Here is a 27,269-nt window from a genome sequence, read left to right on the forward strand (position 1 = left end):
CTGATTACTGTAGCTTGATAGTAAGTCTTAAAATTGGAGGATGTTATTTCTCTAATTTTATTTTTCAAAATCATTTTGGCTATTATAGTTCCTTTGCCTTTTCATATAAATTTTAGATAATCTATTTATATTAAAAATAATCATGCTGAAATTTTGATTTGATTTGTGTTAAATATGCAGATCAATTTGGAGAGAACTGACTTCTTCCTTAAAGTGTTGAGGAGTCTTCCAATTAATGAACATGGTGTGTGTTTACATTTATTTAGGTTTTCTTTTTCTTACATCAGTGTTTCATAATTTCAGAATACAGATCATGTACATAGTTTGTTAAATTTACACCTATATATTTCTTCTTTGGAGATAAGAACTGTGAATGGCTTGAAGTTTTTTTCTTTTAATTTGGTTTCCAGTTCATTGCCTATGTAGACAGTCTTGTTTTCTGCAAATAGGGACATTTTTATTTCTTCCTTTCTAATGTGTATGCCTGTAATTCTTTTATTGACTTATTGCAAGACATCAAGAGAGGTGATAACGGACATTCTTGGCTTTTTCTTAATCTTGAGAAGAAAGCATAGTCTTTCTCCTTTAAGTGTAATGTTAACTGTAGGTTTCTTGTAGATACGCTTTATCAAATTGAGTAACTTCCCTTCTATTCCTGGTTCGCTGCAAGTTTTCATCATGAATAAATGTTGCTTTTTTTCAAATGCTTTTTCTGCATCAATTGAAATGATCATATGGTTTTACTTTAATCTGTGAATATGGAGGAATGCACTAATCAATTTCAAATATTGAATCAGGCTTTATTCTCTGAAAAGCCTCACTTTATCATTTTCTTTTTGTATATTGCTAATATTTTGTTGAAGATTTTTGTGTCGATGTTCATAAGGTATGTTAGTCTATAATTTTTTTTCTTTTTCTTTTTCTTTTATTTTCTTCGTACTATTGTCCTATGGTTTTGGTATTAGAATAATCCTGGCCTTAAAAAAAATATTTAAATTGGTGTTATTTCTTCTTTAAATATCTGATAAAATTTGCAAGTGAAAGTTGGTCCTGGAGTTTTGTTTTGCTTAGGAGGAAGATTTTCTAATTCAATTTAAAAATATTTACAGGAATATTCAGGTTTTGTATTCATCTTGGATGTGTTTAGTGTCTGATTTTCAAGGAATTTACTTATTTCACTTCTTTAGGTTTATGTTTACACAATTGTTCAGAGCATTCCTTTATATCCTTCTAATATCTGCTGGTTCTACAGTGGTATTCTCTTTTCATTCCTGATAGTAGCAATTTGTGGCTTCTTTTTTTGCTTACCGATCCTACTACAGTTTTGTCCATTGCATTGATCTTTACAAAGAACCAGCTTTTTGTCTCACTGTTTTTTTTTTTAATTTTATTGCTTTTTGATTTTTATTACTTCTTTCTGCTTGCTTTGGGTTTATTTTGCTCCTTGTTTACTGTTGTTTTAATACACAATTCAGAATTTTGATCTGAGACCTTCTTTTCTAGCACAAGCATTTAATGCTATAAATTCCCCTCTATACAGTGTTTTAGGGACACTCCACAGATTTTGATGTTTTTTATTTCCCTTTTTGATCCATAGATTCTCTCTAAATCAGTTTATTAATTTCCAGTGTTTTGGAGATTTTCTTATCTTTTTCCTATTGACATCTGGTCATTATGATCATAGAACATACTTTATAGAATTTAAATCCTTTAAAATTTGTTTTGTTTTATGATCTTGGAAGTGGTGTGTCTACATGAATATTTTGTGTACATTTGAAAAGAATGTGAATTTCGTCATTGGGGTGTGTTCTATAAATCTATAAATGTTATTTGGATCTAGTTGTTAATGTTGCCTGGTTCTTCTATATCCTTGCTAATTTTTTGTCTACTTGTTCTGTCAGTTAATGCAAGAGGAGTATTAGAAGCCTGCAAGAATATTGTAGATTTGTCTCTACTTTTTGTTCTGTTCATTTTTGCTTTGCTTATTTTAAAGCTCTGTTGTTAAAGGCATACACATTTAAGATCTCTCTGTTTTCTTGGCAAATTGACCCTCTTATCATTATGCAATGTTTTTCTTGATCTCTGATAATTTTCTTATCACTGAAGTCTACTTTGTCTGATATTACTATAATCACGCTAGCTTTCTTCTGGTTAATGATATAATTTTTCATGATAGAATTTTTTATCCTTTTACTTTTAAACTATGTAATTATAATTGAAGAAATTTTTGTAGATAGGATATTAATGGGGATTTTTTTTATTATTTTTGGTCTATTCTGATCATCTCTGCCCTTAATTGGTTTGTTTAGGCCATTTATATTTCATAAAATGTTTTATGTTTGGATTTGGGTTTATCATTTTATTATTTGTTTTTTGTTTTTCTCTCTGTATTTTCACTCTTCTGGTCCTCTTTTTCTGCCTTGTTTTGGATCATTTGAATATTTTTTAGTATTCCATTTTAATTTAGTTTTGACTATGTATCTTTGTATAGATTTCTTTTAGTGGTTGCTCTATGGATTAGAATGTACATCCTAACTTTTCACAGTCTATTTAGAATCAATCTTTTACCCTGCCAAGTGGATTGTATAAATCTTTCATGTAAGTCTTGTTATTCTCCCTCCTTTATTTTATAGTTTTTATATGTACTACATCATTTCTCTTCTTCTTTTATTCCCGACATTCCAAGTGTCCCTCATTTCACCTTCTTTATGACAGTCTTCCTTTAGTAATTCTTTTAGAACAGATCTGCCAGCAATGAACTATACTTTTTATCTGAGAATGTCTTTATTTTACCTTCGTTTTTTAAAGGATATTCTTATTGAATTTAGAATTTTGAGCTGACAGATATTTTTTGTTTTAAACATGTTCCACTTTCTTATGGAATCTATGATTTCTGATTATAACTCTGTAGTCCATTGATCCCCTATAATTATATATTATTTCCTCTGGCTCTTTTTAGTATTTTTTTAAACTAGTTTGATTGATGGATTTGAGCCTAGTGTTTGATTGATGGGTTCGAGCCTAGATTTGGGGGGTTAGGAGGTTACTATTTGAGGTTCAGTTCTTAAATCTGTTGGTTTATGTCTTTCACTAAATTTGGGAAATTTTTAAACATTATTCAGTTTTTTTTCTGCACTACAGCTCTTTTCCTTCTGGGACTCCAGTGACATGAAAGTTAGATATTTTATTATTGTCCTGCATTATCCTGAGACTCTTTATTTTTTAATAAATATTTTTACTCTGTCTTATTCAAAGTGGATAGTTTCCATTGATGTACTGTCAAGTTCACCAGTCTTTGCTCTCTTATCTCCATTTTACTATTAAGCCCATCCAGTGATTTTTAAACTTTGGTTACTGTATGTTTAGTTCTAAAATTTTCTTTTAGTTTTTATTTAAATATCTTCCATTTGCTGAGACATTCTATCTTTCCATTCTTTTCAACAGTGTTTACCCTTACTTCTTGGAGCATTTTTATAATAGTTGTCTTAATGTCTTAGTTTAATAATTCTAACATCTTTTTTTCCCAATGTTGCCATTTTTTGATCATCTTTTCCTATGTGACTTGAGACTTTTTCTGATTCTTCACATGCCAAGTAATTTGAGATTATATTCTGGATATTTCAAGTATTATGTTGTGAGATTAATAAGTTAAATAAGACTAATACTTCGTCTTATTTAAATCCTATCGAGAATTTTGATATTTTTTGCTTAACAGGCAATTTATCCAGTTGTATTCGGGATGCAGTCTCCAGCCAGTATATAGGTTTTGATTCCACAACTGGTTCACTTTTCAAAGCCTTTGAAATGCTGTTCAGATCTGTCCTTCATGTACCACCCAGGGTCCAATCTAGAACATGGGTAATTGTCTGTCTATACTTAGTTTCTCACAGTCTGTGATCAGATTCACACATGAGAAGTTTGAGCATAAACCCAAGAGTTCATAAACAGCCTTATGAGGTCACTTTCCTGAGCCTCTCTCTTTCATGATCTCAGTACTTTGAGTTCCTGGAGACTCTGCTTTTCAGTCCTCTAGCCAAAACTCTGGGACTTTATTTACCCTACTTTGCCACATGCTTCCTGCATCTATGCCTGTAGAAGAGCTGAAAGAAGACAGGGAGAGAAAGAGCTCAGTGGAGTTTATATTGTACTCTTAGGGCCACAGCTCCTCCTACTGGAGAGGAAGTTTTCCCTCCCTCAAAGTTTTAAATTCTTGCAGTTATCATTATCTCTGCTACTACCTTGAAGGCTAGGATGCAAGAGAATGAAGGAGAAAAGGGCAATTTTTCTCTTCTTTGAGACTTTTCCTGCTCCTTGAGCCTAAACTATAAGGATTCTCCTAGAGCCTTCACTGCCATGCCCCAGGGCCCACTTTCAGGTTTTAAGCTCCCTTGAATCCAGGCCAGGGGTACCTTTTAAAAAAAGAAGAAGAAAGAAAAAGGTAAGGGGAATCACCCTGTGCTACTCTGAATTCTTGTCATGTCATCTTCTCCAGTCCACCTGCTGTGACTTACCCTTTAGAGTCTTTAAATAACCGTTTCCTTCATTCTCAAGTTTTATTATCTAGATTCAGTAGCAGACATAAACAGTTTGTGGATTCTCCATATTAACTGGATCTGACCTCAGGTATATATTTTTAATCATTATCTAAGTTAATGGGTGTTCATGGAGGTTGTGAGTTGCATTTGTTTTAACTTTGCTATACAGTTACACCCCAAATATTCACATACATATTATAAATTGGAAGATACAGGAGCAGGAAAATGAAACTATCTGGAAAAGTATACAGTGAAACATTTCATCTCTAAAGTTTGAACACATTCAGGTCTGAATTTAGGAATCTGTTGGCATTCGCTTTTTTGATAGTTTTCCCTTAGCAGGGAATAGGGTAGGAATAGCAGAAAGCTGGCTCAGCGATGACTTACAGAATGAGAGAGATGTGAATTGGCCTTTTAAAAATCTGTGGAAGTTACTCATTTGGACTGGGTAACGGCTTTCTAGGCAGAGGGAGCAACTTCAGGAAAGGTATAGAGAAGGTCCCCAACTTACAACATTGACTTAAGACTTTTCAACTTTACAGTGGTGTGAAAGAAATATGTATTCAATAGAAACCACACTCCAAGGACCCATGTAATCGTTTCTCATTTTCAATATAGTGTTCAATAAATTATATGAGATTTTAATACTTTATTATAAAATGGGCTTCATGTTAGATGATTTTGCCCAATTGTAGGATACTGTAATTGTCCTGAGCATTAAGGTAGACTAGGCTGAACTGTGTTGTTCAGTAGGACCGGCGTATTAAATGCATTTTGACATGATATTTTCCATTTATAACGGGGTTTATCAATATTTAACCTCATCATAAGTCAAGGAGTATCTATACAGGTATAAATGTGCATGGCATGTGTGAATGTGTGTCAAAGAGGAGTAGACAAACCAGGAAAGGGAAATATGATTCAGTTAGGCATTTACTGTGCCTTCTTAGAGGTTGCAGTAAGATATTCCCATGAACATATTTGAAATGGTTAGAAACACATGGGTGTGAATTTCAAAAAATACAAGTTTTTGAATTTAACACATATGCTAAATAATCAGTCCTTCAGCTTAAACTATGTTATCCTGCAAATGATAGTAAGTCTTCTGGATTTTTATTAGAATGAATCACATTTTCCATCCTTGTTTTTATTTACTAGGAATTTCATCTTATGACTAAAAAGAACAAGCCATAAGCTCTTTTGGTCTAAATTTGAGATATTTGCCTTTGACTTATTTTTAAATTAAACTTTTTATTTTGACATAATAATAGATTCACAAATAATACAGAGAAATCCTGTGTACCCTTTACCCAGTTTCCTCCAATGGTAACATAATATAATGTCACAACAAGCATATTGACATTGATACAGTCAAGATACAGAGCAGTTCTGTCACTAACAGGCTCTCGTTTCCCATTACATGTTCACCCCTGTCCCTCTACCTTGCCGCATTCCTTACCCCTGGCAACCACTAATCTCCATCTTTACAATTGTGTTATTTGAAGAAAGTTACATAAATGAAATCATACAGTATGTAACCTTTTAGACTGACTTTTTCATTCTCTATAAATTCTTGGAAATTCATCTGAGCTGTTGCTTGTATCAATAGTTTGTTCTTTTTTATTGCTGAGTAATATTTCATGACTTATTTTTTAGCCCACCTTTTTCCATTATGTTTCATTTTGAAAAAACAAAGTCTTACTACTCAGGCATTTTTCTCACTTACATATTTGCTTTAGAATTTATACTATAAACAAAAACCTTAGGAGCATTCTAGTGTTCTTTTTAAAATTGCATTTAGGTTAACCAGTTAATCTGTTGACATTATTACGTCTTACAGGAAAAAAATATGTACAAGTAGATTTTATTACTTTACTCCCCTTTTAATTCCTAAATCCAGAAGTAAGATCAGAACACATGAGAGATACTGCTGCTTGAAAAATACTTAGCACAGCCTGTTTGCAGACACACTCATGCTAGTCCACGGCTGATGCAGAAAGGAGCCTATCCCAAGGCAGCATTTTTTTGCAGTGCTAAAGGCCAACATTAGGATGTTGTCTGTTTTCATTAGGCACCATGGTCTTAGTTGCTCAACCAAAACTCCAGCCTCAATAATGAGGGAAAAAAATATACTTCTAGTTTTTAAATTGTGGGAAATAGGTCTGGGAGTAGATTCTGAAGTATGTTAAATACTCATCTAAAGAGCCTAGAATTTATCCCAAGGGGGGATGAAGAAATGAAGAAACAAATAAATTAATCAAATTGCAGTTCCTAAAATAGTTATAAGTAGAAAAATTAGCAGTGTCCAAAAATGTCATTTTACCTTTAATATCAATGTCATATTCCATCTTACGAGGTAGTAACTCTGGCTGTTTTGATTTTCATTTTAGAAGAATAAGGAACATAGGTTTACAATAATCAGTAACTATATTACCATCATATAATTACCCAGTTGGCATACTGTTTATTATTTTAGTTTAAGGAGACACATTGAAGCGAGAAAAAGGGGGTGCTAGAGGTTTGCAGACACTTAGCAAACACTAGTGTTTATCCTACAGCTTTGTAAACACTTTACCAAGAATTTTTAAACTGTCATTTTGCTGATGGAAAGTGTAAAATGAGACTTCAGCAGAAGTTAATCTCATCATCTACTTAAAACAGTGTTTTTTACATTGATCTAAAGAGGTTTGTGCATATTTTAACTGTTTTTCCTATATGATCATCTTCATGTACTAGTATGAAAGTTAATGAGTAAAGAAAATCTGCTGAATAAATCCACGTGATAATCCAAGGCACTTAAAAGAAATACATGCTATAATGGGATGCAAAGATTTTACTTGATTAGTGCTCTATTTCTCAATTTAACAATCAAACCTAAGAGAAATCTCAATCAAGACTTTTGACTAACATAGTGCAATTTGATTAGGGTGCAGATAAGTACACTATTTCGGTGTGACTGTATAAGTATTCTGATCATAATTATGACATATACTCTGCTACTAGTTAGAAAAAGAACAGTTTTTAACTTCTTCATGCCTTTCATTTATGCACATGTTCTTAATACACTATTATAATAAATAAAATGTACCTGAAAATATAAAACATACTTTTTGCTTGTCCAAAAAGTATGCATTTATTTATAATACAAAATATTTATTCTGAACCTATGCTGTATGATAGCCCACTATAAATGTAGAGGTAGCAAGGGAAGATGACAGATATCTAAAAATATTTGTTAGTAGCACTATATTGTTGATTACTACATATCAGTAATTAGAATAACGAATAAAGTGAAAGAAAAAGCATAATGCCTTAGGTGTTTACTTTGGGCACAGTAACATTTGGTCCAGTCATCTTTCTAGTTTTCTGGTACCCAAGTTAAATGAGCAAGAGTGTGATGGAAAGTGGGCTTTGGAGCCAATCAGACCTGCATTTATATTTCATTTCTACCACCTAATAACGGCATGTCTTTGGGCAAGTTATTTAACTTCTCCAAGCCTCAAGTTTTTTAACTTATAAAATATGTTGTTACAAAGCTTAAAAGAAGTAAGTTACTAGCACAGTGCCTGGAACATAGAAATTTGTGCTTTAGAGAAGAAATAAAAATATATAATTCTACCGTCTATAGGTAGAGCTCTTTTCCCAAAATAGTACTAAAATTCCAGTTTGCTTATAATCCTAAAATATTTATAATTCCAGAATATCTAAATCTGTACTGCTTTTACTTCTCTAAGATATCTTCGTGAGTTTGGTAAGACTGTCCACTTAATTTCTTTAAACAGCTTTACTTTTCAAGGACACATTACCATATTCATAAAAGGAAAAAATCCAAATTAAATATAATCTGTACTGAAAGTTTCCTTTTCAGATTTCGGGAAGTTAAAATGTTTGTGACAACTGGATTTGTTTTTTTAATCTTTTATTGATATATAATAGCTGTATATATTTGGGGAGTACATGTGATATTTTGATACATGTATACAATGTGTAATGATCAGATCAGAGTAATTGGGATATCCAAAACTTTAAACATTTGTCTTTCGTTTGTATTAGGAACACTATAGATCTATTTTAATTTCTTCTTTGATTTCAGCAGGAAAGGAAGGGCAAGAAATCCTGGGGCCTGAAGCTCAGGCAGATGAAGCAGGATGTACAGGTACTCTGCTGCGACTTTCTTTCATACCATAGCCTTTAAAAGAAGGTCTTTGTGTCACTGATTTCGCATTTGTGAGTCCTGAATTTAGTCCGTTTCCTTCTCTTTTATCTTACCTTCCTTAAATGTTTAAGTACTTAGGCATATGGTGCACTACATAAAAAGAAGTAAATATTCCTTAAATACAGAGTAACTTACAGATTCATATTATGTAGCAGATTTCTCCATTCTATAAGAATGACAAGTATAACCTACAGATAATCCAAAAAATAAGTGTTTGAATGATGATTTGAACTTCTATCAAGTTTTTGACCAAAGTTAGAGAAATGCAGATCTAACTTTTGAGTTTCGTTATTAGTTACCTGGGTCTGCTTTGAATTGCCCACAAGACAAAAAGCAGAAGAAAATAGAAAAAGCATGGATTTATCTATAAATCCGATGAGAATCATGAATATTAATGAGTTGAGTGAACATGTCACAGCAAACGAGAATCAAAAATTTTTCTTAAATTTTCTGTGATTGAAAAAGAGTAAAATGAAGTTGAATTATAATAAACAAGGAAATTTGCTTTTAGGTGACTAAAAAGTACATATTCCCTGAAACTTAAGGCTATTCCTCTGTAATGGATTCAGATCAGATTTAAGAAGCAAAAGAGTAGGTGGAAAAATTAAATCAGATCTTATGTATAGTAATACCAGTCACTTTTTATTGTGTTCCCTAAGAGAGCCAGAACTGTTAGAATGTAAACTTCAAAAATGCATTCCAGATTTTTAAAACATTTCCTCAAAATATTATACTTAAACGTAGTGTAATTGTACTTTGTATATTCAACCATAAATTAGATATTTCTGTCATATAGTTTTAATTACATTTTCTTTTTCCTTCTCTTCTATGAGTTATCATTTATAGATTTGTTTTTTTACTTTGCTGTGCATTTTAGGAATATTCCATAAAGGCTTACAAATTATCTTTCATTAGGTAAGATGAGGTATGGTTCATGGCTAATAAGTGTCAAGATTAGATTTTTATCTGTAATATAAACAATAGCACTCCTATACTCGTCAGTCATTTCTGTAAAACAGAGTAAATCTTTGTGCTGTTATTAAAAGTGAATTCCAAAATAATTAAATAATAATGGAGTATGTGATAATTTGTGGTGCGTATAGCCTGCGATTTTATGTTTTGCCCCTAACTTCGTTCTGTGTAACTTGCATGAATAATGTATTCAGATATGCTTGTTATCAAATATTTGCCATGCTAAGCTATAGAATATGTAAAATATTTAAGCTGGACATTTGTTAGTAGTAATACAGTAGTGTTAATAAACATAAGAGTACACTATTTACTTTTACCTAGAATCGTTAAACTTTGATGACTTATATTACCAGAATTACAGAAGACAACTTGCCCTTCTAGGTAAAATGCTATCCAAAAAGATGCTCACAGGTTTACAGTATTTTATCTGTCATGCTGTTCTTCACTATAAAAATAAATGAATTCTTTCAGTTTGAAGTACTGAATAGTATGTAAATTTCCTCAAAAAAGTTGCATCTGGAAGGCAGGGTAACCTTCTCAAATTTGTGTTTAACAAAAGTTGCTGCTGAAATGTAAAATCTCCCCCACGTACACAATGATGATCCCTGCTGCATTATTCGCCTGGAACATGGGGAGTTAGGAGTAAGCAAACTTCCATTAAAGCTCCAGTGAGTGTAGCTTTAAAAGGAAATTTAGCTTTTGAGACTTTTGAGCAGTTAAACTGTAAAATGATGTCCTGCCTTTGCTTTTGTTACTTCCTTGACTTCTAGGGAATAATATGCTGACAAAATGAGCAAAAGCATTGTACAGCAGTCGCCATCATTAGTTCAGAATGTTGTCAGATCTTTTTTATAGCAGACTTCCTTCTGCAGCTCGTGAAGTTAAGGAACTATAGTCTGAACTCAGTAATCAGAGTAAAAAATTCATTGAAAACATCCTTTGTTCCTTCTGAGCGTCCCTTTTTTTGTTTATATAGTTGATAATTTTAGAAAGTTTCAAACATGGAGGATAAAGATAAGAGGAAGCCTGAGGATACTTTATTCAGGATGGAAAAATAGATAGATAGATAGATAGATAGATAGATAGATAGATAGATAGATAGATTTAAAAATATTCAGTGTTTATATTAAATATTTGCTCTCTCAAATACATGTATATAGTCATTTAATTCTATACTTTGTCAATTTTGAGTTTTATCATATTTAAAGAAAACCCAATTACCTTTTATGCTGTGTATATTTGCTCATCTCCCTAATATTTAAATATATAAGTTTATCATCTAAAGACCAGGACATTTGCTTTATAATTGACCTTTTCAAGATGTGCATTTCCCAACACTTTAAATTTTAAAAAACTGCAGAAATTCTGGTCTCAGTTTGAAATTGGGCCTGGTAAATGTGGGTTCATGGATATAGAGTGTAGTTTAATGGAAAGAGCTCAGATTTTATACCTGACACCTAATACCAATTTGTCTGCTCTAATAGTAATACATTTTCTCTCTGTGATCTCAGAAGAGCTTTTCTGACCCTAATTTTTCTATTGAGGAAAAATTTTAATTGTAAAATTATGATGTTCACCTTGCAGGACTTCTTTAAGGTGTAAATAGCTAACAATTACATAGTACTTACTACATACCAGGTACCCTACTAATAAGTACATTACTATATTAATTAATCTAATTCTTACAACAACCCTAAGAGGTACTGTTATATAAATTTTATAGGATGTAAACATTATATACTGTCTCACAAATTTCTTAATGGACATATAAAATTTTTCATTTTAAATGTCAGTAGTTACAATTTAATTTCTGGCAGAGTAAAACATTGACATTTTAACATCACTATTACATATGAAATCCATAGTATATTAATACCTATTATCTTTTTTAAAAATATGAAAATGCTCTTTAAGAAATGTTGTGTCATAATATTTACTTTTTGAGCTCATATTTCCATTCTATATGCACTATAGAATTTTATGCAAACGTATATTAATTACTTCATAAACAGTAATTAATTGTAATAGCTTAATATTACTTCTAGAAGGAAAAGTGTTCATCATTCAGTTTCTTTTTTTTAGCATTGAGGTACCTTTATTCTCAAATAAAAAGATGAAATAAAATTTTATGTTATAACTGAGTTGCTCAGTTTTTATGCATCTTCAGCTATAATGTCAAAAGTTATTTGTCAATGAAAATATTTTAATGTCCTGTCAGTATTTCTTCAATTTTGTTGAAAACAAAAATTTAAAGCCATCTAATTTGCAAAAAGATTTGTTTCCCAGTCATTACAATCATCTATTCCCTCATTTTCTGGGACGTATACCAGAAAGACTTTACCAATAGTTATTTATCAAAGGACTAATGATACCTGTTTTGGGCTTTAAAATGTTTTTTCTCACAGTCACTTTGTTTAATGTATTCAGAAATGATTAAGGAAACTGAAATATGTTAATTTCAGTATCTTTTATCAGTATATTTTTCATGAAAAACACTTTTATTACATGAACTGTATTTTGAGCAATACCTTATTGGTTCACCCAATTTCTGGAAAATTTCCAATAACCTACCCAGCAAAGCCAGTTATCAACATCACACCAGCCAGCCAAGTCAGACTTACTTTCTGTCAGGAAAAAAAGCATTTTTTCGTTTTTTGAACTCAGTGTGTCAATACATATTTTGAGGAATTCTATAAAATCTCATCAATAAGGAAGTGTATGAAGGATATATTTAAAATACAAAAGTTAACCAGGCATGGTGATGCACGCTTGTAATCCCAGCTACTCGGGAGGCTGAGGCGGGAGAATCGCTTGGACCCAGGAGGTGGAGGTTGCAGTGAGCCAAGATCGCGCCATTGCACTCCAACCTGGGCGACAAGAGCGAAACTCATTCTCAAAAAAAAAATAGAAATTATCAATAATGAAGAAAACATAAAGTATAAGTAAATACATCTTATAATAATACTAAGTAGTAAAGTCAAGATTAAGATTATGTAGATCGAATCTAATTTGTATGTTAAAAAAATCTTTATCTCTAAATGTGTATATTTAGACCTAATCAATGTATAGGAAAGCTAGAATTTATTGAAGTAGCAAAATTCATATATAAAATACAGATCATGCAGTTCTGAAAAGTGTATACTATTTAAAAACTCATTATTCCAACAGCTAGCACACTTATAATTTTTATTAGGATGTAGAAAATATAAGATGGAGATTGCTTAATTGAAATAAATATTTTATAATATAATTTGATAAAAATAATTTTAACTATCTTAGCAACTCTACATGGAATCTGTAAGAAATCACATAAAATATTAATTTCATTTTTTACTTTTATCTAGTTTAAATTGAAAAATTGAAGTTGCTTTGAAAAGAATGCCACTGATTTGTTCTGCTTTAGCTCTTCAGAAATGCTTTTTGTTCTACCTAATGACAAATCCTAGGAATGATGTTTGAGAATGTTATTTGCTTTGCTCTTATCAGTCTCCTGAAAAGCAATGAATTTTTAAATAATAGGGAGGTCATTAAGGGAAAATTACCCTCACTTCCTCTGGCCATATTATATAGTTAATTGCAGCTTCCCAACCAGGACCAGCATACCCCCATTTCAGTTGTGCTTTATGCCTAATAGAAATTCATGTAAACAGGAAAGACCAGAAAACCTATAGTGATTCTCTGTTGCCTTGATTTGTCAGTAAAGAAGGCTTTCCCTAATCGGTATTTTGAACTTTACTCCTTTGGCACCCTGGAGGACTTTACACTCCAAGCAGTGTACCATAATCATGTCATGGATGGATAGAGGAATACGCCTTTTCTCTTTTTTTCTTTTAAGAAAGTGAGAACAAGGTATACTGTATAAAGGAGAGCAGGGAGAAGAATTTTCAAGGATGCTAGGAAAGAGTTTACATGGAAGCTGAGGATCCGGGAGTTGATTCCTTTAAACCCAACAGTCCAGCTTACATTTTAAAAGTCTTCGCTTACCTCTGGATCCAATAATCCCAATTTGGTAACTACTGACATGAACTAAATAATGCAGTTCTTGGTATATAGCAAATGCTAAATAATTGATAGCTATTGAAAAGTGGGGAAAAAAATTAGGATCACCATTTGTTACTGTCATTGGTTCTCAGGTTTTAAACAGCAGTCACCCTGATGAGTTTGGTTACCGCTACAGTGCAGGAGATGTAGCAAGATTGTTTTAATAACCATCGAACAAACAGATGCCCATACATCCCCATTTTAATTTGGCCAAACTTCAGCCTGCTGGGGAGTGCTGTTTTACAAATTTAGACCTGACAGTTCAGTCAGAGTCTATAAAGAAGTCATCCCTGAGGCATTTGGGAGCCATACTAAGGCATTGCAGTTGCCAGCATGGAGTAGAGACCCTCTTCTGGAGCCAGTGGAGGAAATGGAGGAAAACCATAGTGCAGCAATAATGCTTTAGAAACTTGGCAGCACGCTGGGCTACCTTCTCAAAGCATAAGCCTTTCTAATTCAAGAAAAGTTGCCACTGCCTTAATCCCACAGTTAAACATTTACTGAGGCAGAAATAGAGAAAGAATAGGCTTGTTTTATATGAATACTAGCGTAGCTAAGAAAGAGTTTTCATAGATTTGATACCCTTTGATGCTTATTAGAAATCCTTCTTACTATAGATAATTATTAAAAACTATTTTCTAAGAAATCATATAACTGAACTGAACGTCAGAGTGGTTTATATGAGAATTATTCAGATTTAAAGTAGAGCTCCCCCCCCCATTATCTGTGGGAGATAAATTCCAAGAGTCCCCCATTGAGTGTCTTAAATAAATACTTATATATACTATACTGTTTCCTATACATACATACATATGATAAAGTTTAATTTATAAATTTTATACAGAGTTGCAACAAGAACTATAATAAAATACGGTTATAACAATATGCTTTAATAAATTTATGTGAATGTGGTCTCCCTCGCTCGCTCTCAAATTATTCTTCTTGTACTGTATTCACCTGATTTCATATTGCAGTTGACCACAGGTAACTGAAACCATGGAAAATGAAGCCACAGATAAGGGGCTGTCTATTGTCCAACTTTAAATAAGTATTATGATATGATAGGTTGCTAAGAAGGTGACCTTTGAGAACTAAAGTTTTTTTCTTGCTTTATCATTAATTGAGAAAGAATTCAGTCAACTATATTGCCTTCTCTGTGTTTTATTAGTAAAATGCAATAGAAGTATGACTTTAACATTTGAAAGGGATACTGTGAGAATTTCACACATTCATAGCATTTTAAACTTATAAAGCAAAGATATATCTTAATACATTACAACAAAATGAGTGGAATTCATTTTTAATTTTCAAGAAATATTTTCTGCAGATTCAAGAACAATCATATGTTCTCTCAAGATAAATAATTTCTTATTTAGAAAACCTTTGTAATAACTTAGTGGTGAGATTGCTGTCTTAAAAGTATGCATTTTTTTTAGTAAAAGATGATGAATGCGAGTCAGATGCAGAAAATGAGCAAAACCATGATCCTAATGTTGAAGAGTTTCTACAACAACAAGACACTGCTGTCATTTTTCCTGAGGCACCTGAAGAGGACCAGAGGCAGGGCACACCAGAAGCCAGTGGTCATGATGAAAATGGTAAATGGATCTTAACAGTTGTGTTTCTTTCCCTCTTTAAAGGATTCTTGTTTCTACCATTCTACTATGGGAACCTGCTCTACTATAGGGAACATTCTTGAAGACCAAACTTTATTACAGGTGCCTATAGAGAGTAATCTGTTTTATTAATGGAACACTATGATGACCATGCAGTAATAAATTATTAGCTGCTCATGTATTGTGGTAGTAATGCCACTGCACGTGAAATGCTTAGAACAGTGTCTGGACATCAAATTCCATTTACTTACATGGTAGCAGGCAGTAGAAGTGAGAACTATACCTTTACTGCCCTTTGGATTCTTTCCCACCATTCTTTTAACAAATAAAAATATGGTTGTCTGCTTTATACCAGAACATACTAATTTGGAAACAGTGGTTTTCCTGAATCTGCCTTAGTCCACTCTGATATGAATAGTCAGCGTACAGAGTGTGGAAAATGCAATAAAAATGTGTTCAGACTCTCCTGAGAAGAAATAGGCTGTGATACAGTTTGGGAGGAAAAGACTATGTTATTGTTTCACCAGAAGAAACTAGGTTATCAAAGAAATGAAAGGGAAATACAAAATTTAAAAATATATGTATATTTACGTAAAATTTTTATGTGACAAAAGGCTTTCAAAAAGCCTCACTGAAAGGAAACAATGAAACCTAAAGAAATGATCCATTATGTAGTTCTAATAAAGGTTAAACCTTTTAAAGTTTGTCAGGTCCATACAGTACGATCTAAAAATTGAGGAACTACCATTCTGAATTAGTTTGAATTATAGAATAAGTTGTTGATTTTGTTATTCATTACTTTCAGATATTTAATGTAATTTAATTAAATGCTAATAAAGCATTTTGAAGTATTCTGTCATATCAGCGACATTTGTTTACATATTTATCCCTTTTTATAACCAAATAGTATTCATTCGTGTGTATATGCCACATTTGCTTCATCCATTGATGTACACTGAGGTTGATTCCATATCTTTGCTATTGTGAATAGTACTGTAATAAGCATGAAGATCCAGGCATCTCTTTGATATACCAACTTCCTTTGGATAAATACCCAGTAGTGGAATTGCTGGATCATATAATAGTTCTATTTTTAGTTTTTTTTGAGAAATCTCCGTAGTATTTTCACAGTGGCTGTCCTAATTTTCATTCCCACCAAGAATGTATGAGAGTTCCCTTTTCTCCACATCTTCACCAGCATTCATTAGTTTTTGTCTTTAATAGCAATACTAACTGGGATGAAATGATATATTATTGTGGTTTTGATTTGCATTTCTCTAATGATTAGTGATGGTGAGCATTTTTTTGTATATCTGTGGCTATTTGTATGTCTTCTTTTAAGAAATGTTTATTCATATCCTTTGCCCACTTTTCAATAGGATTATTTGGGTTTTTTAAATCTGTTGAATAGTTTGTGTATTCTTCATATTAGTCCCTTGTCAGATGAGTAATTTGCAGATATTCACTCTGTTGTTTCCTTTGCTGAGTCTTAGCAATAAAGTCTTTGCCTACCCAAATGTCCTGAGTGTTTTCTGTATGTTTTCTTCTAGTTTTATGGTGTTGTGTCTTATGTTTAAGTCTTTCATTGATCTTGAGTTGATTTTTGTATGTGGTGAGAAATAGGAGTCCAGTTTCATTCTTCACATGTTAATATTCAGTTTTCCCAGCACCATTTATTGGAGAGTGTGTCCTTTTCCTGGTGTATGTTTTTGGTGCCTTGTCGAAATCAAATGGCTGTTAATAATGTGGATTTTATTCTGGGTTCTCTGTTCTCTTCCACTGGTCTGTGTGTCTGTTTTTTACTAATGCCATGCTGTTTTCCTTACTGTACCTTGTATTATATTTTGAAGTCAGGTAGTGCGATGTCTCCAGCTTTGTTCTTTTTGCTCAGGATTGCTTTGGCTATATTGGTCTTTTGTGGTTCCGTAAAAGTTTTAGGATTGTTTTTTCTGCTTCTGTGAAAAATGACATAGATATTTTGATAGGGATTGGATTGAATCTGTAGATCGCTCTGGGCAATATGATCATTTTAATGATGTTAATTCTTCTGATCCATGAGCATGGGATGTCTTTCCATTTACTTGTGTCTTCTTCAATTTCTTTCATCAATATTTTGTAGTTTTCCTTGGAGAGGTCTTTCACCTTCTTGGGTAAATTTATCCCTAGGTATTTTACTTTTTTGTAGCTACTATAAATGAGATGGTCTTCTTGATTTATTTCTCGTCTAGTTCATTATTGGTGTACAGAAACACTGCTGATTTTTATGTTGAGTTTTGTATCCTGCAACTTTCAGTTTATTTAGCAGATTGCAGTTTTTTGGTTGTGTCTTTAGGTTTTTCTAGATATTAGATCATATAGTCTGCAAAGAGAGACTATTTGACTTCTTTTCCAAATTGGATGGCTTTTATTTCTTTCTCTTGCCCAATTGCTCTGGCTAGGACTTTCCAATACTGTGTTGAATAGGAGTGGTGAAGGAGTGGAAATCCTTTTCTGATTACACTTCTTAGAGGGACGTCTGTCAGCTTGTTCCATGCAGTATGCTGTGGTTCTGTCATATATGTCCTTTATTATATGGAGGTGAACCATCTTTGCATCCCTGGGATAAATCCCACTTGATCATATTGCATTATCTTTTTGACGTGCTGTTAGATTTAGTTTGTGAATATTTTTTTGAGGATTTTGTATCTGTTGTCATCAGGGATATTGACCTGGATAGTTTTCCTTTTTTTGTTTCATCTTTCTCTGGTTTTGGTATCAAGATAGTGATGGACTTATAGAATGAAGTAGGGAGAATTCCCTCCTCTTCAGTTTTTTGGAATAGTTTGAGGAGAACTAGTGTTAGCTCTTCTTTGACAGTTTGGTAGAATTCAGCAGTGAACCCTTTCAGTCCCGGACTTGAAATATTCATTATGGATTCAATCTCATTACTCATTATTGGTCTGTTCAGGTTTTCTATTTCTTTCTAATTTAATCTTGGTAGGCTGTGTCCAGGAATTTATCCATATCCTCTAGGTTTTTCAGTTTTTTCATGTATAGTTGTTCATAATTGTCTCTTTTGTATTTCTGTGGTATCATTTGTTAGTCTTCTTTTTCATTTTTTATTTGCATCTTCTCTGTTCTTTTCTTAGTCTAGCTAGTGGTTTATCAGTTTTGTTACCTTTTCAAAAAAACCAACTTTTTGTTTTGTTATTTGTGTTGTTTTTTAGTCTTCATTTCATTGATTTTGTTCTGATTGTTATTATTTCTTTCCTTCTTAAATCCTAATTTAGGGTTTGCTTTGTTCTTGCTTTTCTAAGTTCTTGAGGCACATTGTTAGATTATTTGAAATGTTTCTATTTTTTGTTTTAGGTATTTATTGCTATATACTTCCTCTTAGTGCTTTTGCTATATTTCATAGGTTTTGATATGTTCTGTTTTGATTTTCATTTAAAGAAATTTTAATTTTAATTTCATTTAAAGAAATTTTAAATTTTCCTCCTTATTTCTTCCTTGACCCCGTGGTTATTCAAAAGCATGTTGTTTAATTTTCATGTGTGTGTAGAGTTTCCAAAGTTCCTCTTATTATTAAAATCTATAGTTGTATTACTTTGTGGTCTAAAAGCTACTTGATATGATTTTGATTTTTAAAAATTTGTTTGAGACTTGTCATGGGTCCCAACATACAGTCTATCCTAGAGTATGTTCTGTGTGTTGATGACAAGAATATGTATCCTTTAGTAGTTGGTTAAAATGTTCTGTAAGTGTCTCACATCCATTCGGTATAAAATGCAGTTTAAATTCAGTGTTTCTTTGTTAAGTGTCTTTCTACATGATCTGTCTAATGCTGATAGGGGTGTTGAAGTCCCTAACTATTATTGTATTAGAATCTGTCTCTCCCTTTAGATCTAATAATATTTCCTTTATATAGCCAGGTACTCCAGTCTTGGGTACATATATGTTAAGAATTGTTATATCCTCTTACTGAATTGATTCCTTTGTCATTCTTTAATGACCTTCTTTGTCCCCTTATACTGTTTTGTTTACTGGATTTAAGAGTTTATCTCATTATAGCTACTCCTGCTCACTATGGTTTCCATTTGCATGGACATCTTTTTCTGTCCCTTTACTTTCAGTCTATATGGATCTTTACAGGTGAGATGAATTTCTTCTAGGCAGCACATAGCTGGGTCACAGTTTTTATCCATTCAGCCAATCTGTACCTTTTAAGTGGAAAGTTTAATCCGTTTATGTTATTATTATTGATATGTTAGAGCCTATTTCTGTCATTTTGATTTCTGGTTGTTTTGTGTATCATTTGTTCCTTTCTTTCTTACTGATTATTATTGTGGTTTGATAGTTTTCTATAGTGGTAACATTTGAGTTCTTTCTCTTTCTTATTTGTACTTGTTCTACCAGTGGATTTTATATTTTCATGTGTTTTCATTATGGTAGATATCTTCCTGTCACTTCCATGGATAAGACTCCCTTAAACATTTCTTGTAGGGCCAGTCTAGTGGTCATGAATTCTCTCAGCTTTTACTTGTTTAGGAAAGACTTTATTTCTCTTTCATTTATGAAGGATAATTTTGCTGGGTATGATATTCTTGGCTGGCAGGGTTTTTTTCTTTCAATACTTTGAATAAATATATCATTTCTTTCTCTCCTTGCCTATAAAGTTTCTGCTGATAAACTGCTATTAGTCGTATGGAGGTTCCCTTACAAGTGATTGGACACTTTTCTCGTGTTGTTTTTAGAATATCTCTTTGTCTTTTACTTTTGACAGTGAATATAATGTGCCATGGAGAAGATCTTTTTGAATTGTATCTATTTGGGGGTGCGCTGAGCTTTCTGTATCTGGATGTCTAAATCCTTTGCTAGACTTGGGAAATTTTTGGATATTATTTCATTAAATAGGTTTTCTATCCCTTTTGTTTCCTCTTTGCCTTATAACACATCAAAAATTCGAATATTTGGTTACTTTATAGTTTCTTATATGTCACACAGGCTTTGTTCATTGTTCTTTTATTCTTTTTTCTCTTACTAGGTTATTTTAAAAGACCTGTCTTCAAGTTCTAAAATTCTTCTTCTGCTTGACCTAATCTATTGCTGAAGCTTTCAGTTGTCTTTTGTCTTTCATTCGGTGAATTCTTCAATTCCAGAATTTGTTTAGTTCTTTTTTATGATACTTACCTCTTTGGTAAATTTCTCATTCATATCCTGATTTGTTTTTCTGGTTCCTTTGTGTTGCTTTTCTGTTTTCTTCTATCTCACTTAGCTTTTATAAGATCATTATTTTTAATCATTTTCCAGGATTTCATAAATTTATTTTGATTGGAATCTGTTGCTGGATAATTATTGTATTTTTTGGAGGTGTCATATTTCCTTCCTTTTTCATGTTTCTTGTATTCTTACCTTGATACCACACATCTGGTATAATAGTCAATTATTCTGGTTTTTTGGATTTGCTTTCATTGGTTGAGTAGGGCACTTTGGCTTTGATTCTGGGTACATGTGGTAGTGTAATTTCTGTATGATATCTTTCGTTATAAATAGTGTGAGTAGGGTCCGTGATTTCCTCGTTGGCTTAGGTGCAATTGTTAGTGGAGGCTGAGGTGAAGTTTGGCTGGGACAGGGATGCCAGGTGGACCATTCCTTGGGCCCTAGCAGTGGTAGTAACGGGCTTACAGTACCTGTCCTTAGACCACAGGGTGGCACATTGACACCTTGTGTTAGCAGGTCCAGTTGGGCTGATCCTTGGAACTCCAGGTGGCTTGCTTGGGTGCTGGTAGTGGCAGTGGTAAGCTGGGCAGGTGGGCAGGTTCTCAGGCTCCTGGGCAGTGGATGTCACTTGGGCAATGGCAGTAGCAGTGGCAGGACACCCTCTGGTTCCCTAGTGATTCACGCTGGTGTTGGCAGTGACTGCAATGGGCTGGGTGAGTCAGTCCCCAGGCCTACCGGTGGTGCATGCAGGAGGGTGCCAGCTGTAGTGATAGTAGCAGGTTGGGTGGACCCAACCTCAGGCCTCCAGGAGGAGTGTTCAGGTGACAACAGTGTTGGACTGGGCTGGGTCATCCCCACGTCCCTGAATAGCATGCTCGGAAACTGGGGAGGAGGTAAGCTGGGCCAGATGGACCTGTCCTCAGGCCCCTTGGTGGTGTGTGTAGGCATTGGCTATCATGGCAGGGGCAGGATGATCCCAGGCCACCAGCAGAGTGCTCAGGTAAGGACATCAGTGGTTGCACTGTGGCCTTCTTACTGGGGAGGGCAAGGTTGCTCTTGGTGGCAGCAGCCATAGGGAGGGAGCTGGGAAATGTGCGCTTTAGCCCCAGACAGCGGCTGTGGATGGGGTAGCCTGTCCTCAGGTCCCTTATAAATGCTTAGCAGCTCAGCTGCTGAGGAAATTAGGGTCGCTGCCAGTGGCTAGCACTTTGTCCCCAGCGGTGGAAGCCCACAGTGGCAGCAGTCTGTTGGGGAGTCTGTCCTTGGGGCATGTAAAAATGTGTGCAGCTCCTCTGCTGGGAGGAGGTATGGTCACTGCCAATGGCTTGCACTTCAGCCTTAGCAGCCGCAACCAGCATTAGTGATGACTGGGAAGGGAGGTATGTCAGTGGGGCTCAACAGGATGTAGTCTGTTGGGGGTTGGGCTCTCAAAATAGTGCTGTGCTGTAGCTACTTAGAACTCAGGGGGTGTACAGATTCAGCATAAGCTCCCTCTCCGGAGCAGCATTGTCATGTGGTCTCCACATACCTCCCTGTGTTAGTCTCAGAGCCCACGATGGTCCAGGGGTTCTCCCATGGCTAGGATTGCAGGAGTCCATGGTGGGAATGTGGACCCCTGGGGGTCTCTCACTTACTCTTTCCCTGCATTGGAGAGCCTTTGCAGGTTGCTTTACTTCCTTCTTCCTTACTTGAGGTGTTTCCTGTCACTTTTCTGTTGAATTCCAGTGTTCTCTCTTAGATGATCTATGTGAAGTGTGATTATTACCTCATTATTTTGGTTTTTCCTTGTAGAGGAGGTGAGTACCAGATGCCTCTATTCAGCCATCTTGAAGCCCCTCTCTCAACATATTTGACCAACTATTTAACATTCAGGTGCTCAGTCTATTATTTGCAGTCTGGTCCTTGAGCAAGACATTTGATTTATATGGACTTGAATAAAGGAATATATGTTCAGAAAGCACTTGGAGATTTTATGAAATTATCTGTGGTGGTTTGTTTTTCTATAGTGAATTCAAAATGAAAATAGAGATGATGTTTACAAAAAGATATCACTTAATTTATTTCATTGAAGAAATGTCAAATATGGAAAACTACTCTTAGTTAAATAATATTAATTGGCAAAATATTACATTTTAGGATTGTCAGGCTTAGACAGCTCCAAGTGTAAAAATAAAGTTCATTCAGTAAACTAATTTATTCAGAATGCCTTTGTTTTCTAAAAGCTATATATATTCATACATATACAGTTATATAGCAGATTTGCCAGTGTATTTCAATAGGGGAAATTACAAGCAGGGTCATGCATGGGATGTGTTTATGTAGCAGGCCTAGATCTGGCCCCCATCAGTCTTTCCTTCCCCACCTTACACACTATTTTTTTGGTCTGAACTCAGTCCTATGGCCACACCTACCTGCAAGGGACTCTTGGAAACATAGTGTGTGTGTACTGTTTACTCTTTGATGATGATGACTTGGTAGTTTCATTTTCAAAATCAGAGGAATAAACATTAAATAAATAATGATACATACCATTGTTACCAATAGACTCTGTTGTAGAGCACAAAATTCCCCTTTAATCTGTATACACTTACAAAGACAACCTACATTCTAATTTTACTTTTGTTTTCTTTTCTAGCTAATCACATGACAAAAGGGAAGAATTATGGTTTAGGGAAAAAGAATGGGACTTGAAGGTCAGACAGCCCGTATTTGAACCCTGACTTCATCATTTTCTGGCTCTGTGACTTTTCTTTTAAGTTATTTAACCTTCCTGGAAACCACTGTTCTCTCTCTTATAAAATAGAGATGAGTATCATTGCATTGTTTTGAGGATCAAATATAAAGTGGGTAGCACAATATCTGGAACATAGCATAGGGACTCAGTGGAAACTTTGGTAATATTTTCTGAATGTTTTAAATTTAAAATATATGATCTTTCTTTTACAGGAACACCAGATGCATTTTCACAATTACTCACCTGTCCATATTGTGATAGAGGCTATAAACGCTTTACCTCTCTGAAAGAACACATTAAATATCGTCATGAAAAGAATGAAGATAACTTTAGTTGCTCCCTGTGCAGTTACACCTTTGCATACAGAACCCAACTTGAACGTCACATGACATCACATAAATCAGGAAGAGATCAAGTAAGTGCAATGACTGAGAGTTCACTAACTTTCCAGATTTTGACAACTCAGCCCTCAATGGAAGGCAAGGATTTTAATATATTTGAAAGTTAAAAGAATGTACTAAACAGTGCTATATCTGCAGCCTTATAAAAGTGAAAATGATTATTTATTTGAGTTATCTGGTCATTCCTGAGATTAAAAACCACATATGAACGTTACTTTAGAGGTAACTCAGTATTTTGTTCAGGTAAGACCCTTTCCATCTTGACTTAATTATTTTGCTTATGCCATAACAGTTAATTCTTCAAGTTTAGAAGATGTTAAATTGCATTCTATTAAAATGTTCAGTGTAGGAAAAATAAGTACTGACTATATAAACCACATTATACTAACCAAATTGACAAGAAAGTCAAATTAAAAAGTTTAAGTTTCTTTGAACCAGTTACTATTTATTCTCAGTATAAGCTACGTGGTTTTTTTCCCCCGTAGTAAAGGGAGTTGCCTCCTCTAAAAATCTAAAGTTTAGATTTTTTTATTCTGAAGACTCAATTTTTATATGGTTTATTCTACTTCTGTGTCACTGTGCCCCAGTTTTCAGAAGTATAAACCAAGACTGTTTTGTAACTATAAGTTACATTTAAATTGCTGGTTCTATATTTAGGATTAAAGTCAAAAAAGCTTTTATCAGTTGTTCCTCTTTTACAAGGTCCTCATAGTTATCAGCCATCAACAATGAAATTAATATTGCCTTAATTCTAACTTTAAAAATTAAATAAATTTTCAGCCACACAGGGTTTGTGAGGGTACATGTTGGGGTTAGGCCACATTTCCAGTTTCTTACATCAAAGAATGATGTATATCTACATACCTGAACTCTGCCCTATGGATGTACCTAATATGTGTCACATATCCCATAGAGAACAAGTTAGACCATTTGCTAAGGTGATGGCTAGGCCAAACAAACAACAAAAAAGAATTGTAACAGAAAAAGAATGACTGAGCAGAGTCAACCTATTTCCTTAGTACTTTGGCAACAGTACTCATGAAATAACAAGATAATAAGAAGAGGGTGGCAATCAGGGAGAATAGAACCAAGATTTTATAGGTTTATGGTCCATAAGCCCATGAAGGAGCACTTGAAACAGGTGAGAGCTCCAAGAGAAGGACGAAATTAATACAGAGAAGGGACGACTGAAGGCAAACTCCGTCTCCTTCCTAGTGCCCCTATTAATGAGTCTTATCAGAGAGACCAGCAGAAGAGTATGTTTTATACCTTAGCGCTGTGATGTGGCCACAGTGTAGACAAGGCTTGGGAAAGAGCCTACTCACGTGACATTCAGGAAGCAGACCCATCCTGCAGCTGCTGCCACCATATTCCCTCTACTCCAAGGGCCATCGTGAAAGGAGAGGACAGATTGAACTGGTGGCGAAAGCAGAAGATGCCATTATAAAAACAAACTCCAAAATCTTTGATGAGCATGAAAACCAATTCTATGATGATTTTTCCAGTGGGTGCAAATGTAGTAGGATTTACATATAAACCGTGGGTCAGACTAAGGTCAGGAAGGAGCTGTGATAAATATGGGGACCAGTAATGTGAGGAAATATAACTGGGAGGTCTTGGAAACAATTTAGTTTGCAAGGCAGCAAACTAAAAGGTAGAATGTATATTTTGCTGGCCCTTGAGAATCATACTGTGACTAACAAGCATTTTCAAGTCTTATTAACTTGTTTATTCAACAAACATTTGTGTTTCTTTTATATGTGAGGCCCTCTTCTGGGTGTTAAAGGCACAGTAGTCAAAAAGGAAGTCCCTGATATTAGGGACCATACATTAGTAGATTATATAAAACAGAAATAAAATAATACATACTGTGAAGAAAAATACAGCAGGATAAGAGGATAGAAAGTGATGAAAGCTGCTAGGTTTCACAGAGAAGGGAGACTTCTCTGAGAATGGGATATCTGAATACAGTGAAGGAGCCAGTCATGGAATATTGGAGAAGGGCATTCCAGTCAGAGGAAACAGTGAAACATAAGAAAGCCTTGAGGCCAGAACCTGCTGGGCACACACTGAGAACAGCAGAGGCCAGTGTGAAAGGGAGAAAGGTAAGGCCAGAGAGGTGTTGGGGGCTACATATTATAGGCCAAGATAAAGACGTTGGATTGTATTCTAAAGTGCAGTGGGGATGCCTGTCAAGGATCCAGGAATTTTTAATTTTTATTTTTAGGGGAACACTGACTGTTGGATGATAGATAAGAGAGACAAGAACGGAAGCAGGGAGATCATTTAGAGGCTTTTGCTGTAATCTAGGCCAGAGGTTTTGGTGGCAGACAGATAAATAAGATTGTTGGCTTCAGAATATGTTCATATGCTTGCTGATGGATTGGGTGAGGGTACATGAGTAAGAGGGTAATCAAGAATAACTCCAAAGTTTAAGGCCTAAGCTATAACCAAATAAATGATAGTGCTATTCACAGAGATAGGAAATACTAAAGACGGAGCTGGCTTGCAGGAGGGAAATTAAGAGTTTGGTGTTAATCATGTTAAGTTTCAGATCTCTATCACCTTCCAACTGGCAATATCAAATAAGCAGTTGGTTGTAAAAGTCTGGAGTTAAGGGGAGAGGTTTAGAGATACAAATGTGGGAGTCGCCACCATATATTTGGTATTTTAAGTCATGGGTTTTAGTGAAGTAGGACCTGATTCAGAGTAAGTACTAATTCTCTTTCCTTCCTGTATAAAAGGCAAAGGAAGGGAGATTCCAGCTGGAAGAGCATGAAGCAGTAGTTGAGTTAAGCCGTTAAAGGCTGGGTAGAATCTTAGTAGTCAAAATTATGGGAAAACACAGTGAAGGAGTAAGAAATTATGTAAACCAAAGCCAAAAGATAAAGAGGAGCAATATGTGTGCAGAAAACCATGGCTCGCTAAATGACTGAGGCATAGACTTGTCATAAAAAACTGGTGAAGAATCATCTTGGAAACTCAGGGACTATAATCTTGGAATCTGTAGACTTGGAATCTTTATTGAGGGGTTAATGGGGATCCTTCAGAAGTTTATGAGGAGGAGTTGATAGAATGCAATTCAAGCAGTGCTTTTGTAAGATTAATCTAAGTATGAAGAATACATTTGAAATATGTGAAAATGGGAATTTGATAAACCAGACAGAAAGCTATTATAATAATCCACATTTGGCTGAAAAAACTGGAAGTATTTTTTTAATCATCAGATTAAAGTACATTTTGGAAATATCAAATAGAAGAGACAGGATAAAGTACAGGAAAAATCCTGTCTTCTATTCAGGACCTTGTTCTGTTGAGTGAGCTTTAGACAGGTTATTCAGTATTTGTGGATGCGGTTTCTATATCTATAAATTGGAAAGCAAACAAGTTAACCTCTAGTTCCTAGCAAAGTATATATTACTTTATTTTTACTAATTTTGAATATTGTTTAATAAAGGATGAACTCTGATACTTTAGAAAGTTGGTATTTTTCTGTATCAAATTCTGTCCCCACTATCACTATCCTTTTTGGTAATAATTTCAGGAGTTACATTT

General features: G+C 34.2%; 1 protein-coding gene across 56 annotated transcripts in view, besides 4 other annotated features; it reads left to right on the top strand.

The window, feature by feature from the left end:
- Positions 1 to 27,269, top strand: part of ZEB1 (zinc finger E-box binding homeobox 1) — a 211,388-nt gene that overhangs the window by 168,731 nt on the left and 15,388 nt on the right. For 31 of the 56 annotated variants that reach the window (NM_001323643.2, NM_001323638.2, XM_047425691.1 and 28 more), the window contains 3 exons: positions 8,629 to 8,691; positions 15,201 to 15,362; positions 23,526 to 23,728. In NM_001323643.2, coding sequence (NP_001310572.1) covers positions 23,699 to 23,728 — 30 coding nt within the window. In that variant the 5' untranslated portion in view covers positions 8,629 to 8,691; positions 15,201 to 15,362; positions 23,526 to 23,698. The remainder of the gene's footprint in view (positions 1 to 8,628; positions 8,692 to 15,200; positions 15,363 to 23,525; positions 23,729 to 27,269) is intronic. The other 25 variants (NM_001323645.2, NM_001323641.2, NM_001323644.2 and 22 more) reach the window with 4 other exon arrangements.
- Positions 4,160 to 4,279: an enhancer, noted in NCBI's record as "active region_3240". NCBI's record gives its function as "activates an Ori minimal core promoter by ATAC-STARR-seq in GM12878 lymphoblastoid cells {active_cell/tissue: GM12878}" and the evidence as "EXISTENCE:reporter gene assay evidence [ECO:0000049][PMID:35858748]".
- Positions 20,380 to 20,580: a silencer, noted in NCBI's record as "peak919 fragment used in MPRA reporter construct". NCBI's record gives its function as "represses an SCP1 promoter by STARR-seq MPRAs in K562 erythroleukemia cells {active_cell/tissue: K562}" and the evidence as "EXISTENCE:reporter gene assay evidence [ECO:0000049][PMID:32103011]".
- Positions 21,009 to 21,517: an enhancer, noted in NCBI's record as "H3K27ac-H3K4me1 hESC enhancer chr10:31797084-31797592 (GRCh37/hg19 assembly coordinates)". NCBI's record gives its function as "activates a minimal SCP1, AML or CMV promoter by ChIP-STARR-seq in primed H9 embryonic stem cells {active_cell/tissue: H9 hESC(primed)}" and the evidence as "EXISTENCE:reporter gene assay evidence [ECO:0000049][PMID:30033119]".
- Positions 21,518 to 22,024: an enhancer, noted in NCBI's record as "H3K27ac-H3K4me1 hESC enhancer chr10:31797593-31798099 (GRCh37/hg19 assembly coordinates)". NCBI's record gives its function as "activates a minimal SCP1, AML or CMV promoter by ChIP-STARR-seq in primed H9 embryonic stem cells {active_cell/tissue: H9 hESC(primed)}" and the evidence as "EXISTENCE:reporter gene assay evidence [ECO:0000049][PMID:30033119]".

Source organism: Homo sapiens, chromosome 10 (assembly GCF_000001405.40).
Source record: "Homo sapiens chromosome 10, GRCh38.p14 Primary Assembly".
NCBI classification, from domain to species: Eukaryota; Metazoa; Chordata; class Mammalia; order Primates; family Hominidae; genus Homo; species Homo sapiens.